This window comes from Homo sapiens, chromosome 11 (genome assembly GCF_000001405.40).
Source record: "Homo sapiens chromosome 11, GRCh38.p14 Primary Assembly".
Lineage (NCBI taxonomy): Eukaryota > Metazoa > Chordata > Mammalia > Primates > Hominidae > Homo > Homo sapiens.
In genome coordinates this window covers 63,731,585-63,749,915 of record NC_000011.10, presented here as the reverse complement: position 1 = coordinate 63,749,915, position 18,331 = coordinate 63,731,585, and the positions used below count along the sequence as shown (strand labels likewise).

Sequence of the window (18,331 nt, the reverse complement as noted above, 5' to 3'; positions counted from 1 at the left end):
CATTAGCACACAAATACAGGTATGCCCCACTTTAAGATAATCTGGTTTTGTTTTTTTAAAGAGATGGGGTCTCACTATGTTGCCCAGGCTGGCCTGGAACTCTTGGCTCAAGTGATCCTCCTGCCTTCACTTCCTGAGTAGCCAGACTACAGGTGTGTGCCACTGTACTTGGTTCTAAGAGAATCTTATAAATGAAAATCAAATTATGTCAGGGGTGATAACTCACGAGGCAAAACGTTCTTCTGCTACACCGATTAGGTTTCAGGATAGGATTATAAAAATTTAAGAGCTTATTTCAGCTATGGAAATACACCGGGGTAAAGTGCCATTTACCTTAAATAGTTTGGCAGAAAGGATGATAAAGCAGGTGTGGCAAAATCTTGCTGTTAACTAAATTATGCAAACCAGGCCTATAAATTAGTTAGGTGAACAGACTATAAAACCAAAGCTAATTTTGCCCCAGTGTATAAATTGGGGCAGGGGCAAAGAAAGTGGTAAATAAAAATAGACCAAGCACTATTAGTGCTAGTTATAAAGAAACACCAGTCTCAATGTTAATCTGAAAAGAATTCAGGAAGGATTATGTATAGGGGACCATATAATTATCCAAGCCACAATACTACCTCCTCCCTTTTTTGAGACAGCGTCTCACTCTGTCACCTGGGCTGGAGAGCAGTGGCACTATCATTACTCACTGCAGCCTTTAACTCCTGGGTTCAAGCAAGCCTCCTACCTCAGCCTCTGAGTAGCTAGGACTACAGGTATGTGCCACCATGTCCAGGTACTTTTTTCTTTTTTGTAGAGACAGGGTCTCAATATGCTGCCAGGCTAGTCTCGAACTCCTGGCTTCAAGCAATCTTCCTGCTGTGGCCTCCCACAGTGCTGTGATTACAGGCATGAGCCACCATGCCTGGCCAAGCTGCAGTACTCTTAAAAAAAGTGAGTGGGGGCCGGGCATGGTGGCTCACGCCTGTAATCCTGGCACTTTGGGAGACCAAGGCGGGCGGATCACCTGAGGTCAGGAGTTCGAGACCAACCTGGCCAACATGGTGAAAAGCCAGTCTCTACTAAAATATAAAAATTAGCTGGGCATGGTGGTATGTGCCTGTAGTCCCAGCTACTCAGGAGGCTGAGGTAGGAGAATCGCTTGAACCCGGGAAGCGGAGGCTGCAGTGAGCCGAGATCGCGCCATTGCATTCCAGTCTGGGTGACAGAGCGAAACTCCGTCTAAAAAAAAAAAAAAAAAAAAAAAAAGTGAGTGGGGCTGGCAGGGTGCAGGGGCTCACGCCTGTAATCTCTGCACTTTGGGAGTCCGAGGCTGGTGGATCACTTGAGGCCAGGAGCTCAAGACCAGACTGGCCAACATGGTGAGACCCCTGTCTCTACTAAAAATACAAAAAATACCTGGGCATGGTGGTGCACACTTGTAATCTCAGCTACTCGGGAGGCTGAGGCACGAGAAATCACTTGAACCTGGGAGGCGGAGGTTGCAGTGAGCCAACATCGTGCCACTGCACTCCAGCCTGGGTGACAGAATGAGACTGTTTAAAAAAAAAAAAAAAAGTGAGTGGGGCACTATTAATAATTATGTCAGGAAATGAGTTTAAGTAGAAGTATTTCGATTTTCCCAGTTTGTAAGTCCCCAACTGTAAGATCTAGTTGCCCAGGATGGTCCTGGTTTAAAGACACCTCCAACTCTCTGAGTGGCAGGTGCCGGCAATCACCTCCAATCTAGCAGTGACATTACTTTTATTTTTTTTTTTGAGACACAGTCAGGGTTTCACCATATTGGCCAGGCTGGTCTCGAACTCCTGACCTCTAGTGATCTGCCCGCCTCGGCATCCCAAAGTGCTGGGATTACAGGCATAAGCCTCTGCACGTGGCTGCCATTACCTTTTGTATTTCTGTCTATGAAGGCTAATTTCACCATGAATAGCTAGAGGACTTTCCTCCCAGCCACTCTCTGCTCTCAAAAAAGAGCAAGGGCTTTGGAGTTGGAGAGACATGAGTTTAAGTCCTGGTAATTTCTCACTATATTACTTTAACCTTTCCAAGCCTCCATTTCCTCACATCTGAAAAATGAAGAAAATGAAATCTACCTCCTAGAGTTTAAGGAATAAAGAGGCTAAGACAGTGTAAATGACATGCAGTAATTCAAATAAGGTTAGCGGAAAAGACTTATTTGCGATAAAATGAACTGGGTGTGATTCAAGTTGTCTTGAGGGTACCTAGTTCTTCCCCACATTCAGCTATACAGCTCTCTTCTGAAACCATTTCTTTGAAGACTAACCTTCCTAGAGCCAAAGAACCTTAACTTGATTCAATAAAACACTAAAAATATGCTGATTGTATATAAGAAGTAATCACTGGTTCAAAGAGTCTGGCTAAGGGATGCAACTTACTAGGAGAAAGAGAAGGTATTATGACTCCTGATGGGAACCCGAGAGTCCCAGATAGTGATGCTGCAAAGGAGAGAAAGAATTGGGAGGGAACTCAGGCTCACTTGATGAACTAAGAGATTGAACAGAAGAACTTAATAGAATACTGCCTACTTAAGAGTGAATTCCTGTAAGTAGGAGAATTCCTATAGTCAGAGTTCAAGCATATACATGTTAGAATTCATATAACTACAAGGAACAGTTTCAACACAGAAGGCTTAGAGGGCCGACGTCATCAGTAGTAGAACAAACAGATACCATATGCCTCCAGACATAGTGCATGCACTGAGAAAGACACAACATCACTTCTATGGTATTCCCGCCCAAAACATGTAACCTGCATCTAATCAGAAAACACCAGACCAACCCAGATTGAGAAATATTCTACAAAACAACTGGCCTATAGTCTTCAAAAATGTCAGTGGTGTGAAAGAGAAAGGCTGAGGAACTTACTTCTTTTAATCTTAATTCTCAGATTAAAGGAGAGTAAGGAGACAGGATGAGGCACAAAGTGTGATCCTAGACTGGACTCTGGAAAAGGGGTAAACACAGCTATAAAGACATCATTGGTACAACTGACAAAATTTAAATGTGTACTATATAATTGACAAAAGTACTGTTTATCAATGTTTAATTTCCTAAATTACTGTTAAATTTCCTTAACAGCCGGGTGCGGTGGCTCACGCCTGTAATCCCAGCACTTTGGGAGGTTGAGGCAGGCAGATCACGAGGTCAGGAGACCGAGACCATCCTGGCTAACATCGTGAAACCCCGTCTCTACTAAAAATACAAAACACTAGCTGGGCGTGGTGGCGGGTGCCCATAGTCCCAGCTACTCAGGAGGCTGAGGCAGGAGAATGGCGTGGACCTGGGAGGCAGAGCTTGCAGTGAGCCAAGATTGCGCCACTTCACTCTAGCTTGGGCAACAGAGCGAGACTCCGTCTCAAAAAAAAAAAACAAAAAACAAAAAGCAAAATTTCCTTAACAATAACTTTCGTTGGTTACGTAAAACAAAGATGTTTTGTTCAATGGAAACACACTCCAAAGTAGGGGTAAAGAGGCAGAATGTTTGCAATCAGCTCTCAAATGGTTCAGGAAAAAAACATCTATCTATACTGAGAGGGAGGGGATGATAACGCACATGTGGCCAAATGATAACAACTGGTGAACTAGAGTGCAGATTATACGGGACTTCCTTGTAGCACAACTGTAATTCTTCTATACATTCAAAATATTTGAAAGACAGGAAGAGGAAACTTAGAGAATGAGGCTAGGACCCAGAGAGAAAAGGACCTTGATGTATCAGAGAAGGAAAAGGGATAAAGACGACATGTGCCTAGATGCAAATCAGAGTGTCTACACCTTTAGGCCAGGTGCGGTGGGTCACTCCTGTAATCCCAGCACTTTGGGAGGCCAAGGTGGGTGGATCACTTGCGGTTAGGAGTTCGAAACTAGCCTGGCCAACATGGCGAAACCCTGTCTCTACTAAAAATACAAAAATTAGCCAGGCATGGTGGTGCGTGCCTGTACTCCCAGCTACTCGGAAGGTTGAGGCAGGAGAATCACTTGAACCTGGGAGGCGGAGGTGGCAGTGAGCCGAGATCGCACCTTTGCATTCCAGCCTGGGTGAAAGAGTGAGACTCCGTCTCAAAAAAGACCTTTGTGCAAACTAGAAAAAGTCACCCTGTCTTCATGCGTGTTACTGCCATCTGCTGGAAAACTCATAAGAAATAGAAATATTCAAACCTACAAAGATAACAAGTGTAAACAGTGCCCCTAGATGTGTGCAGTAAACAACCTGCATAATAATATAGGCCCTGGGCTCAGCCTTAAGATAAATGGTGGAATTATGGTCTGGGATAGAAAGGGGACATAGTGACTAAAGAGAAGGTAACAGAGGAAGAGCTTGGAAAAGATGGTTCAACACATCAAGCCTCTGTCTGGAATGCTCCTCCCCAACTCCCCATGGCTTGCTTCTTTACTTTTCAGGTCTCAGTGCAGGGCTACTTCCTCAGACACTGACCAGCCTGTCTAACAGCCCCTGCCTTCATCACTTTCTATTCCCTTTAACAGCTTTATTTTTCTTCAGAGCACCTACCACTTTATTTGTAGCAGGCTCTTCACAGTTGTTACCGAATGCTTAAACATGGGGCCAAGCTAATGACCAAAAGACAGCAAAACCATTTGTTTCCTAATAATTCCCCTTAAACTAGTCAAGTTTTTGCACATGACTCTATTGACCACAGAAGACTAAGGATTCCAAGTATAGAACACCAAAGGAAGGAAACTGGCATGGTTTTTGGAAACTTTTCCCTCTCTAATACCTTGGGGGAGAAGAGGATGAAAAATATGAAGAAAAAGTGAGAAATGAGGCAGTTGCCAATAGTTTAAAATGAAGCCACTAGACTTACACTAGTTCTAGTGTGTATTTCATAACCAGCAAGAGGCTGCATGGTTTGCGTCCATGAAATTTTCTTTTCTTTTTTTAGACAAGGTCTGGTTGTATCGCCCAGGTTGGAGTGCAGTGGCACAATCTTGACCCATTGCAACCTCTGCCTCCTGGGCTCAAGCCATCCTCCCATCTCAGCATCCCAAGTAGCTAGGACTATAGGCGTGCACCACCATTCCCGGTTGATTTTTCTATTTTTTGTAGAGGCAGGGTTTTGTCATGTTGCCCATGTTGGTCTCAAACTCATGGGCTCAAGCAATCCACTGGCCTTGGCTTCCCAAAGTACTGGGATTACAGGTGTGAACCACAGCGACCAGCAGAAACTTTCTTTTCATTCTCTTTTATTTTCATGTACCTGTTCTGGCTGAGTATAGTACAGTTATGTACTAAATGACATGTGGACAACAAAGCACCACATATATGACTGTAGTCCCATAAGATTAGAATATTGTATTTTTACTGTATTTTTTTAATGTTTAGATGTACAAATACTAAGCACTGTACCACACTGCCTACAGTATCCAATATAGTGTAACATGCTGTATGGATTTGTGGCCTAGGAGCGATAGATGATACCATATTGCATAGGTATGTAGTAGTATACCTTCTAGGTTTATGTAAGTTAACTATGGTATTTGCCCAATGATGAAATCACCTAATGACGTTTCTCAGAATGTATCCCACTGGTAATCAATGCATAACTACTTTTTAAAACAGGAAATTATTTATTTTTTAATGTGTTATCTTTCCTTCCTTTCCCACTTTTTTTTTTTTTTTTTTTTTTTTTTGAGACAGAGTCTTGCTCTGTCGCCAGGCTCGAGTGCAATGGTGTGGTCTCGGCTCACTGCAATCTCTGCCTCCCAGGTTCAAGCGATTCTCCCACCTCAGCCTTCGAGTAGCTGACATTACAGGTGCCTGCCACCACTCCCGGCTAATTTTTTGTATGTTTATTAGAGACAGGGTTTTGCCATATTGGCCAGGCTGGTCTCGAACTCCTGACCTCGTGATCTGCCTGCCTCGGCCTCCCAAAGCACTGGAATTACAGGCGTGAGCCACTGTGCCTGGCCCCTTTCCCACCTTTATCTTCCTTCATCAAGTTTTTGTTTGTGTTTTGAGACGGAGTCTCAGTGTGTTGCCCACGCTGAAGTGCAATGGCGAGATCTCGGCTCACTGCAACCTCTGGCTCCCGGGTTCAAGCAATTCTCCTGCCTCAGCTTCCTGAGTAGCTGGGATTACAAGCGCGCACCACCACGCCCAGCTGATTTTTTGTATCTTTAGTAGAGACAGGGTTTCACCATGTTGGCCAGGCTGGTCTCCAACTCCTGACCTCAGATGATCCGCCCGCCTCAGCCTCCCAAAGTGCTGGGATTGTAGGCATGAGCCACTTGACATTTGTGCCCAGCTTGTGAAAATTCTTAACAAAAATTTAGCAAACCAAACACAACAATAAATAAACGCAATACTACATCATGACTGAGGTGTTTCTTTTGAAAAAATACAGGATTGGCTTAACATTCAATAATCAAAATAATTCTCCATTTTAAAGAATTCCACCAAGGAAGAATTCCATAATTCACCATATTAACAACTAAAAAAGAAAAACCATATGATACAGAAAAAAGCATTTGAGAAAATCCAACATTCATTCCTGATTTTAAAATCTCAGGAAACTAGGGAAGGGAAATCCCTCAACTTGATAAAGGTAATCTACCAGTAACTTACAGCAAACATCGTACTTACTGAAAGAAGGCAAGAAGTTCTCTCTGCCTCTACTCCTGTTTAACACTGTATTAAAGGTTCTAGCCAGCTCACTAAGTCAAGAAAAACAGGCTGGGCGCGGTGGCTCATGCCTGTAATCCCAGCACTTTGGGAGGCCAAGGCAGGCGGATCACCAGAGGTCAGGAGTTTGAGACCAGCCTGGTCAACATGGCAAAACCCCGTCTCTACTAAATATACAAAAAATAAAATAAAATAAAATAAATTAGCCAGACATGGTGGCAGTCACCTGTAGTCCCAGCTACTCGGGAAGCCGAGGCAGAAGAATCGCTTGAACCCAGGAGTTGGAGGTTGCAGCGAGCTGAGATCGCGCCACTGCACTCCAACCTGAGTGACAAGAGTGGGACTCAATCTCAAAACAAACAAACAAACAAACAAACAAAAATATATATATATAAACTTAGGTATAAATCTCACAAAAGATATATAAGACCAGTACAGTGAAATCTATAAAACATTGCTGAGAGAAACCAACAAAGATCTAAATTAATGGAGAGCTATCTGTTTTCAAAGGTTGGAAGACTCAAAATTGCCAAGACATTAATTATCCCCAAATTGACCTATAATTCTTCACGACTTTAATCACAATCCTTTCTTTTTTTTGTGTGTGATGGAGTTTTGTTCTTGTTGCCCAGGCTGGAGTGCAGTGGCATGATCTCGGCTCAATGCAACCTCCGCATCCAGGTTCAAGCGACTCTCCTGCCTGAGCCTCCCAAAGTAGCTGGGATTACAGGCGTGTGCCACCATGCCCAGCTAATTTTGTATTTTTAGTAGAGACGGGGTTTCACCATGTTGGTCAGGCTGGTCTCGAACTCCTGACCTCTAGTGATCCACCAGCCTTGGCCTCTCAAAGTGCTGGGATTACAGGCATGAGCCACTGCGCTGGCCTACAATCCTAGTAGGTTTTTGTAAAAATGGACAAGCTAATCTAAAATTCCTATGCAAATTCAAATGTAAAGAACCTAGAAGAGCCAGGCAAGGCGCGGTGGCTCATGCCTGTAATCCCAGCACTTTGGGAGGCCGAGGCAGGTGGATCACAAGGTCAGGAGATCGAGATCATCCTGGCTAACACGGTGAAACCCCATCTCTACTAAAAATACAAAAAATTAGCCGGGTGTGGTGGCAGGTGCCTGTAGTCTCAGCTACTTGGGAGGCTGAGGCAGGAGAATGGCGTGAACCCAGGAGGTGGAGCTTGCAGTGAGCTGAGATCGCGCCACTGCACTCCAGCCTGGGCAACAGAGCGAGACTCCATCTCAAAAAAAAAAAAAACCTAGAAGAGCCAAAACAACTTTGAAAAATAAAGTTAGAAGATTAACATGACCTGATTTTAAATATAAAGCTACCATTATCAAGATGCTATAGTACTGGTCGAAAGATAATAGAGCAATAGAATGGTATAGAAAATCCAGAAACAGACAATTGTGCATTAAGAGATGTTTAAAGATTATTTCAGGCCAGGCGCAGTGGCTCATGCCTGTAATCCCAGCCCTTTGGGAGGCTGAGGCGGGAAGATCACCTGAGGTCACAAATTCGAGACCAGCCTGGCCAACACGGCAGAACCCCATCTCTACTAAAAACACATAAGTTAGCTGGGCATGGTGGTACATACCTGTAAGTTTCAGCTACTGGGGAGGCTGAGGCAGTAGAATCACTTGAACCCGGGAGGCAGAGGTTGCAGTGAGCCAAGATCATGCCACTGCATTCCAGCCTGGGCAATAGAATGAGACGCTGTCTCAAAAAAAAAAAATAAATGCTGGGCACGGTGGCTCATGCCTGTAATCCCAGCACTCTGGGAAGCTGAAGCGGGTGGATCACTTAAGGTCAGGAATTTGGGAACAGCCTGGCCAACATGGTGAAACCCCCTCTCTACTAAAAATACAAAATTAGCCAGGCGTGGTGGCACACGCCTGTAGCCCCAGCTACTCAGGAGGCTGAGGCACAAGAATTGATTGAACCCAGGAGGCGGAGGTTGCAGTGAGCCAAGATCAAGCCACAGCACTGCAGCCTGGGCGACAAGAGCGAAACTCCATCTCAAAAAATAAATAAATAAATAAATAAATAAATAACTATAATAAAATAAAGATTATTTCACCCCTTAATGCTTCCTGGCTTCCACTTGGCCATGGATCCCTACCTAGTAAAATACTTTATCCCCAGCTTTAGAGTTAGTACAGCACAGAAATGACTCTGGCTCCAGAATGCCTGAGTTTGTATCCTCTTCCATTTGCCAGCTCTGTGATTTTGGACAAGACACTCAATCTCTCTGTGCATCGGGTCCCTCATTTGTAAAATAGGATAATACAAGATCAACTTCATAGGGATGTTGCCAGGATTAAGTGGATTAATGTGTAGAAGTGCTCAGAATACTATTGATTAGATAGTAACACAATATCAGCTATTATTATTCATTTGACTGCCAACCTCTGCTACAATTGTAACAGAAAATTTAAGAATTGAAGTTAAAGTTAGCTATAGAGCAACAAGATTTTTTCCTTTCCTCTTTGTTGCCAGTAAGATACAAAGAAATTAAAGGTGGCTCATGACTGTAATCCCAGCACTTTGGGAAGTGGAGGCTGGAGGATCGCTTGAATTCCAAGAGTTTGAAACCAGCCTGGGCAACATAGTGAGACCCTATCTCTATTAAAAGAAAAAAAAAGGCCAGGCGCGGTGGCTCATGCCTGTTATCCCAGCACTTTAGGAGGCCGAGGCAGATGGATCACGAGGTCAGGAGTTTGAGATCAGCCAGGCCAACATAGTGAAATCCTGTCTGTACTAAAAATACAAAAAAAAAAAAAAAAAAAAAATTAGCCAGGCATGGTGGCAGGCACCTGTAGTCCCAGCTACTTGGGAGGCTGAGGCAGGAGAATCACTTGAACCTGGGGAGTGAAGGCTGCAGTGAGCCAAGATCACACTGCTGCACTCTAGCCTGGGTGACAGAGTGAGACTCCGTCTCAAAAAAAAAAAAGAAACTAAGATGGGGAGGTTAGAAGGGGCCTTATTAACCAAATCTATTTTATGTATCAAACTTCCATATAAACTTTTCTATGAAAAAGTGTTGCGCTATCAGAACTATGATTAAATAGATTGGTGTGTAAATGATATACGGAGACAGAGGACCAGGAGATAGAGGCAGTATGATACATCACCTATGGGGCAGACCAGACCAACATAGAGTATAGATTTGGGAGTTATCAACATGTAGGTAGTAATTTGAAGCTACGGAAACAGAAGGGATCACTTTGAGGCATCTCAGCCCCTCAAATTCCACACATCAAAGAAAACATCATTTCTGACTGACATTCTTCCCTGATCAGAAAATAGTTCTACCATCCACCCAGAAACCCAAGACAAATACAGAAATAGGGTTCACTCTTCTTTCTCCCTCATCATCTACACTCAAACATCAGGGCTGGTTAAAGTCTATCTTTTTGAATTTATCAGAAAAAATTAAAGTCTTTTGATTAAGAGTCTTAAACATTTTTATGTCTTAAATTTACCTTCTATGAGCAGACTCTTTAGAGAAGACTGTCCAAGTCAGTGACTCTCAGCTGCATGTGAGATGGGATAAAGGACGTGGGATGGGGAGTAGATCCTGACTCCTGATGGTGCATGTCACCTTTTTAAAGCTATGGACAAATTATTGCTTGATTCTGGTTATGTGTCAGGTAGAGAATCACTACTGGAGAGAGCCACTGATACAGACAGGGAATGTCCTTTTCTTTGGGTGTGCTATGTGTTATCTTGGGTGTTCTAAAACAGAAGAGAATTGTGAGGCAATGGGCTAACGAACTGCCACACTAGTACACAACCTTATAGAGAAAGAATGAAGCCTTGGCTAGTCTCTTCCTAAAGTCCTACAGGGAAGTGACCCAAGCTAGTTCAAAAGGTACTGGAAAAATAAAAAGCCAAAAATTCTCAAAAGAACGAAGTCAATGTTCCCTTACTTTTCAGGTTACAACTTTATCTTTAATATCATATCACTTAATTTTTTTTCATTTAAAGGACCTTACTTTTTTCTCTTTTCGTGATTCATTACATAAGTAAAATCACTAATTTTTCAGTTATATTATTTTGCTAATGACAGATGAAACATCTGACAAGGAATGTCTGCACCAAGAGTTTACGTTGCTGGTGGAATTACGACTGATTCCTTCTTTTTATTTTCCAAATCTTTTGTAATGTGGCCATATTACTTTTATTTTAAAAACTTTAAGGTATTTATTTTAAAGTTTTATTTTATTAAAGTATCTATTTCTTGTCCCTGTTATTTAAGGACGCCGGCTGCAGTACCCAAGTTACACCTGAAGAGGGCACTAACACATCCAATGGTAATCTCAGGCTAAGGAAAAAGGAAATCAGTCTTGTGCCATTTCCAGGAGGAACAGCAGTAAACCTTACTGATTCCTCACCCGTTAATTTTATTACCGAATTTGGGGAAAGCTCTTGTTTTGATTCTAACTAGCCATTTCCAAAAGTCAATTGACTTTATTCTCCCAAGTATACACCTCAAAGGTAGAAAAGAAGAGCTGTTCAAATACTTATTCTGAAAAGGAACAAATGTGAAAGAAATTTCAAGGTTTAGTAGTCTGTCAGCTTTACCTTCTTTTTTTTTTTTTTTTTAAAGACAGGGTCTCACTCTGTCACCCAGGCTGGTGTGACTACAGCTCACTGTAGCCTCGACTTCCCGAGCTCAGGTGATCCTCCTGCCTCAGCCTCCCAAGTAGATGGGACTACAGGTACATGCCACCATGCCTGGCTAATTTTTTAAATTTTTTGTACAGATGGGGGTCTCAGTTTGATGCCCACGCTGGTCTTAAACTCTTGGGCTCAAGCAATCTGCCCTCCTTGGCCTCCCAAAGTGCTGGAATTACAGGCGTGAATCACTGAACCCAGCCACTTCATTTTTTAAGAACAAATAAATCTCCAATTCATTCCACCTTCCTTGCAACAGTTTCTTAAAACTTGTCTATAACACATCCCTAAGAACACTCAAACATGCCTGAAATAACTAAAAGGAAAAAAAAGGCCATGTTTTATAACCTCAAAAAGGAAACTGTTAATAAAGGGGAAACAGTTAAGCTTTTTAATATGAACAATTTATGTAAAGACAAAGATGCAGACATTTTTACACAGATTATTTCTTTTCTTTGGTTACTTTCACATTAATAGTTATAATAAATGAAGCCACTTTTGAGTTGCAAAAGAGACGTCAGGTGATGTGTTTGTAAACTCAGGCCCAAATTTTGTGGCTGCTGAAATGGGTTAAGACTCTGCTCTGCTACAGATTTATCCTTAACCAAGGAAATCCACCCCCTCAAAAGGCACAGAAAGATCACTGACAGAATACAAAGCTGTCACTGTCAAAGACAGACACACATACTTTTGGCCATAGATAAGTCTGGCAGCAGGCCAGAGAAATATGTAGGAACCCCTTTCAAACTAATGTTCATCTCACACTCTCAGAAAAAATAGTTGTTTGTTCATTAAAATAACCTACCATCCCCTTTGCCCTCAATTTCAGATTTATAAAACAGAAAACAAAATGGCATTGTCTACCCCTCTCCAGGTGAATAGTATGGATCTAAAAATGTGAACTTTTGACCTTAGTTACCTAAAAAGTATTTTCCTTTTTTTTCTTTTGTTGAGACAGAGTCTCATTCTGTTGAGCAGGCTGGAGTGCAGTAGCATGATCTCAGCTCACTGCAACCTCTGCCTCCTGGGTTCAAGTGATTCTCTTCCCTCAGTCTCCTTAACAGCTGGGGCTACGGGTGCCCGTCACCACATCTGGCTAATTTTTGTATTTTTAGTAGAGATGGGGTTTCACCATGTTGGCCAGGCTGGTCTCAAACTCCTGGCCTCAAGTGATCCACCCACCCTGGCCTCCCAAAGTGCTGGGATTACAGGCATGAGACACCGGCATGCCTGGCCATCAATCTTTAATTTTATGGTTAGTGTATTTTACCTAAGAAATCTTTGCCTACCCTATGTCATGAAGATGTTTTCCTATGCATTCTTGGAAAAGTTTTTTGGTTTTAGTTTTTATGTTCAGAGATCTAATTCATTTTAATTTCTGCACATCATGTGAAGTTAGAATTGTGGCAGGCGGAATTCTAAGATGGAGCTGGGCATGGCGGCGTATACCCGTAGTCCCAGCTACTCAGGAGGCTGAGGTGGGAGGATCCCTTGAGCCCAGGAGGCAGCAGTGAGCTAGGATTGCAAAACTGCACTCTGGCTTAGGAACAGAGCAAGACCCTATCACAGGGAAAAAAAAAAAAAAAAGGATTCTATGATAGCTTCCAAGACTCTTGCCCCTTGTTGTACATGCCTTGTATAACACTTTCCCCTGCCCCTAACTGTGGACAGAACCTGTGAATATGATGGGATAGTCATTCTAGTTTTTGCATTTGAGTTATATAAACAGTCATTTCTCAGTATCTGAATGAGATTCGTTCCAGGATCCCCAAGGATATAAAAATCCATGGAAGCCCAAGTCCCTTATATAAAATAGCATGGTATTTGCATATAACCTAGACATATCCATTTGGATACTTATTTTTTAAAATTTTTTTGAGACGGAGTCTCTGTCATCCAGGCTGGAGTGCAGTGGTGCAATCTTGGCTCACTGCAACCTCCGCCTCCCGGGTTCAAGCGATTCTACTGCCTCAGCCTCCCGAGTAGCTGGGACTACAGGTGTGTGCCACCACATCCAGCTAATTTTTTGTATTTTTAGTAGAGATGGGGTTTCACCATGTTGGCCAGACTGGTCTTGAACTCCTACCTCAGGTGATCCACCTGCCTCAGCCTCCTAAAGTGCTGGGATTACAGGCATGAGCCACCACGCCTGGCCTTTATATTATTTTTTATTGTTTTTTCTTTTGTATTTTCAATCCGAGGTTGGTTGAACCCAAGGATGCAGAACCTGCGGATGCAGAGGACTGACTGTATAAGATTCTCTTGATAGCTTCGAAGAAGCAAGCTACCATGTTGTGAGAGGGCCATGAGGTTAGCACCCGCAGGCAGCTTCTAGGAGCTGAGCATGATTTCCCCAGCTGACATCCAGGGAGAAAGAAAGTGGGTATCTCATTCCACAACTTCCAGGAACTGAATTCTGTCAACAACCAGCCAGCTTGGAAAGAAAGAGGTCCCTGAGTCTCAGATGGTATCACAACCCCAGTGAGGCCCTGAGCAGGAGGATCAGCTAGCCCATGCCTAGAATGCTGATCCATGAAAACTGTGAGATAATAAATTTAAGTTGCTAAATTTGTGCTAATTTGTTATTTCTGGGTTCTCTGTTTCTTTACTTGTAGACTCGTCAGTACCATACTGTCTTTATTACTGGAGTTTTATAATGTCTTTAAATAAATGTTCCAAGTTCTCCAATTTTGTTCTTTGCTCTGTGTATTTCCACAGAAATGTTAGAATTGGTGAGGCGCTTTAGCTCACACTGGTAATCCCAACACTTTGGGAAGCCAAATTGGGCAGAATGCTTGGGCTGATGAGTTCAAGACCAACCTGGGCAACATGGCAAAACTCCATCTTTACTAAAAATACAAAAATTAGCTCGGTGTGGTGGCATATGCCTGCAATCCTAGCCACTCAGGAGGCTGAGGTGGGAGGATGGCTTGAGCCCAGGAAACAGGGGTTGAAAGAAAGAGAGAGAGAGAGAGAGAGAGAGAGAGAGAGAGAGAGAGAGAGAGAGAGAAATGTTAGAATCTGGGACTTTGAATTGTCTTGAATCCATAGATCAGTGTGAGTAGGACTGACATCTTAACAACACTGAGTCTTCCAATTCATGAACATAGCACCTCTCTCCTCTTAGTCATTCTTTAGCTTCTCTCTGCAGTGTTTGGTAGCTTTTAGTACTGCGGTCTTAAGTACTTTTTTAGCTAAATTTATTCCAAGTATTTTATGCTTTTGGTGCTATTGTAAATGGAACTACTTATTTAAAAAAATAATTTTCTAGGTCGGGCATTGTGGCTCACACCTTGTAATCCCAGCACTTTGGGAGGCTGAGGTGGGCAGATCACTTGAGGTTGGGAGTTCGAGACCAGCCTGGGCAACAAGATGAAACCCTGTCTCTACTACAATTACAAAAATTAGCCAAGTATGGTGGTGCACACTTGCAGTCTCAGCTAGAGGCGGAGGTTACAATGAGCAGAGATTGCGCCACTGCACTCCAGCCTGGGCGACAGAGAAAGGCTGTCTCAAAAAAAGTTTTTTTTTTATTGTCAAATTTTGCTATTAATATATAACAACAAAATTGAGTTTTGTTTATCAACCTAATATCTATCCCGCAATCCTGCTAAGTTCACTTATTAATCCTAATAGTTGTTTTGTGGATTTCTTAGGATTTTCTATGTAAACAATCATGTCATCTGCAAATGAAGAAAGTTTAACTTCTTCCTTTCTAATCCTGATTCCTTCTATTTCCATTTATTGCCATAATTCAGTGGCTAGGACCTCCAGTATGGTGTGTGTGTGTGTGTGTGTGTGTGTGTGTGTGTGTGTGTGTGTGTGTTTTGAGACAGAGTCTCCCTCTATCACCCAGGCTGGAGTGCAGTAGCGTGAACTCGGCTCATTGCAACCTCCGCCTCCTGGGTTTAAGCAATTCTCCTGCCTCAGCCTCCTGAGTAGCTGGGATTACAGGTGTGTGCCACCATGCCTGGCTAATTTTTCTATTTTTAGTAGAGGTTTCACCATGTTGGCCAGGCTGGTCTCAAACTCCTGACCTCAAGTGATCCGCTCACCTCGGCCTCCCAAAGTACTGGGATTACAGGCATGAGCCACTGTGCCTGGCTATTTTTGTTTGAGACAGTCTTGATTTGTTACCCATGCTGGAGTGCAGTGGTGTGATCTCGGCTCACTGCAACCTTTGCCTGTTGAGTTCAAGGGATTCTCCTGCCTCAGCCTCCTGAGTACTGGGATTACAAGTGTGCACCACCACACCTGGCTAATTTTTGTATTTTTAGTAGAGATGGGGGTTTCACCATGTTGGTGAGGCAGATCTCAAACTCTGACCTCAAATGAACTGCCCACCTCGGCCTCCCAAAGTGACCTCCAGTATGTTGTATACAAATGGTGAGAGTGAACATTGTACCCAATCTTCAGGAGAAAGTGTTCAGCATTTCAGTATTAAGGATGACATCAGCTGTAGTTTTCAACAGATGCTGTTTATTAGACTGAGGGAATTACCTTCTATTCCTTGTTTGTAGAAAATTCTATCAGAAAAGGATATCGAACTTTTTTTATTTAAAAATTTTAGAAACAGGATCTCACTGAATGTGTGTGTGTATATATATATGTGTGTCTGTGTGTATATACATATATACATACGTATGTATGTGGTGTTTTTTTTTCTTTTTGAGGCAAGGTCTTGTTCTGTCACCCAGGCTGGAGTGCAGTTGTACAATCATGGCTCACTCCAGCCTCGACTTCCTGGGCCCAAGCAATCCTCCTGCCTCAGCCTCCCGAGTAGCTGGGACTACAGACACACACCACCACCGCCACCACGCCCAGCTAATTTTTCTTTTCCTTTTTTTTTTGTTGGTAGAGACAGGGTCTCACTTTGTTGTCCAGGCTGGTCTTGAACTCCTAGGCTCAAGCAAGTCTCCCACCTCAGCCTCCCAGAGTGTTGAGATTACAGGAATGAGCCACTGCACTCAGCCAAACATTTTCAAACACTTTTTATGAACTGAACTTATGCCATAGTTTTTCTTCATTGTTAATGTGGTGAATTATATTGATTATCCAATCTTTTTTTTTTTTATTCTGAGACAGTCTCTGTCGCCCAGGCTGGAGTGCAGTGGTGCAATCTTGGCTTACTGCAACCTCCACCTCCTGAGTTCAAGCGATTCTCCTGCCTCAGCCTCCCAAGTAGCTGGGACTACAGGCGCGTGCCACCACGCCCGGGTAATTTTTTGTGTTTTTAGTAGAGACGGGGTTTCACCGTGTAAGCCAGGATGGTCTCGATCTCCTGACCTCATGATGTGCCTGCCTCGGTCCTCCCTCCTGACCTCATGATGTGCCTGCCTCGGTCCTCCCAAAGTGCTGGGATTACAGGCGTGAGCCACTGTGCCCAGCCTTTTTTTTTTTGTATTTTTAGTAGAGATAGGGTTTCACCATGTTGGCCAGGCTGGTTTTGAACTCTTGACCTCAAGTGATCCACCTGCCTCGGCCTCCCAAAGTGCTAGGATTATAGGCGTGAGCCACTGAGCCCAGCCCTGATTATTTAATCTTAAAACAACCTTGTATCCTGTATATCCTGTAACAAACCCTAATTAGCCTTGATGCATTCATTATCTTATTATGTTGCTGGTATGATCTGCTAATATCTTCTGAAGGATTTTTCATTTACGTTCATGAATAATATTAGTCTATAATTGTATTTGCCATGTCTTTGTCCAGTTTTGGTATTACTCTATACATATGTATTATATATGACATATATACTAGTTTATAAATTGGGAAGTATTCTCCTCTCCTTTTTCCTTATATGCTTCGAAGAATTCTCCAGTGAAAACTCTGGGCCTGGAATTTTCTTTGTGGAAAGAGTTTTGATACTGAATTTAATTTCTTTAATATAAATTGTGTTAGCATTAAGTAGCATTTTTCAAGGATTTTGTCCATTTCTCTAAGTTGATAAATCTGTTGGCATAAAATTGTTCATAATAATCTACTGTTCTTTTAATATCTGTAGGATCTGAATGGAAAACCCTTTTTTCATGCTTGATATTGGTAATCTGTGCTTTTTTTTTTTTCTTGTCCAGTCAAGAAATAATTTTGGCCAAAAGTGGCTCACACCTATAACCTCAGCGCTTTAGGAGGCCAAGGTGGGAGGATCACTTGAGGCCAGGAGTTCGAGACCAGCCCGAGCAACATGAGACCCCATTTCTACAAAAAATTTTTAAAAATTAATAAAGTATGATAGTGCGTGCCTGTAGTCCCTAGATGCCTGCCTGTAGTCCTAGCTACTTGGCTGAGGCAGGAGGATCGCTGAAGCCCAGGAGTTTGAGATTACAATGAACTATGATCATGCTACTGCACTTCAGTCTGGGTGACTGAGCAAGACCCTGTTTCCAAAAAAATAAAAAATAATTTTGTTGAACTTTCCAGGAACCAAATTTTGGCTTTGTTAATTTTTTCTATTGTTTGTTTTTTTATTCCATTGATTTCAGCTCTTTTTTTTTCTTTCTACTTACTGGGTTTACTTTGCTCTTCTTTTTCTAGATTTTCAAGTTCGAACCTTAGATCACTGTTTTAGATTTTTGTCTTTTCCAATATAAGCATTTAAAGCTATATACATGGCTGGGCGCAGTGGCTCAAGCCTGTAATCCCAGCACTTTGGGAGGCCAACGTGGACGGATCACAAGGTCAAGAGATCGAGACCATCCTGGCCAACATGATGAAACCCCATCTCTATTAAAAGTACAAAAATTAGCTGGGTGTAGTGGCGCACGCCTGTAATCCCAGCTACTCAGGAGGCTGAGGCAGGAGAATCGTTTGAACCCGGGAGGCAGAGGTTGCAGTGAGCCGGGATTGTGCCACTGCACTCCAGCCTGGTGACAGAGCGAGAGTTCATCTCAAAAAAATAAAAAATAAAAAATAAATAAAGCTATATAATTTCCCTCTCAGCACTGTATTCCACAAGTTTGATTTATTTTCATTGTTC

General features: G+C 42.7%; 1 protein-coding gene across 12 annotated transcripts in view; it reads right to left on the bottom strand.

Annotated features, from left to right (window-relative positions):
- Nucleotides 1–18,331, bottom strand: part of RTN3 (reticulon 3) — a 78,442-nt gene that overhangs the window by 9,976 nt on the left and 50,135 nt on the right. Inside the window, exon 4 of one of the 12 annotated variants that reach the window (XM_017017091.2) lies at nt 1,536–2,969. The exons of the other annotated variants lie outside the window; for them this stretch is intronic. Coding sequence (XP_016872580.1) covers nt 2,857–2,969 — 113 coding nt within the window. The 3' untranslated portion in view covers nt 1,536–2,856. Of the gene's footprint in view, nt 1–1,535; nt 2,970–18,331 lie in introns of those variants that run through there. 12 annotated transcript variants of the gene reach the window in all.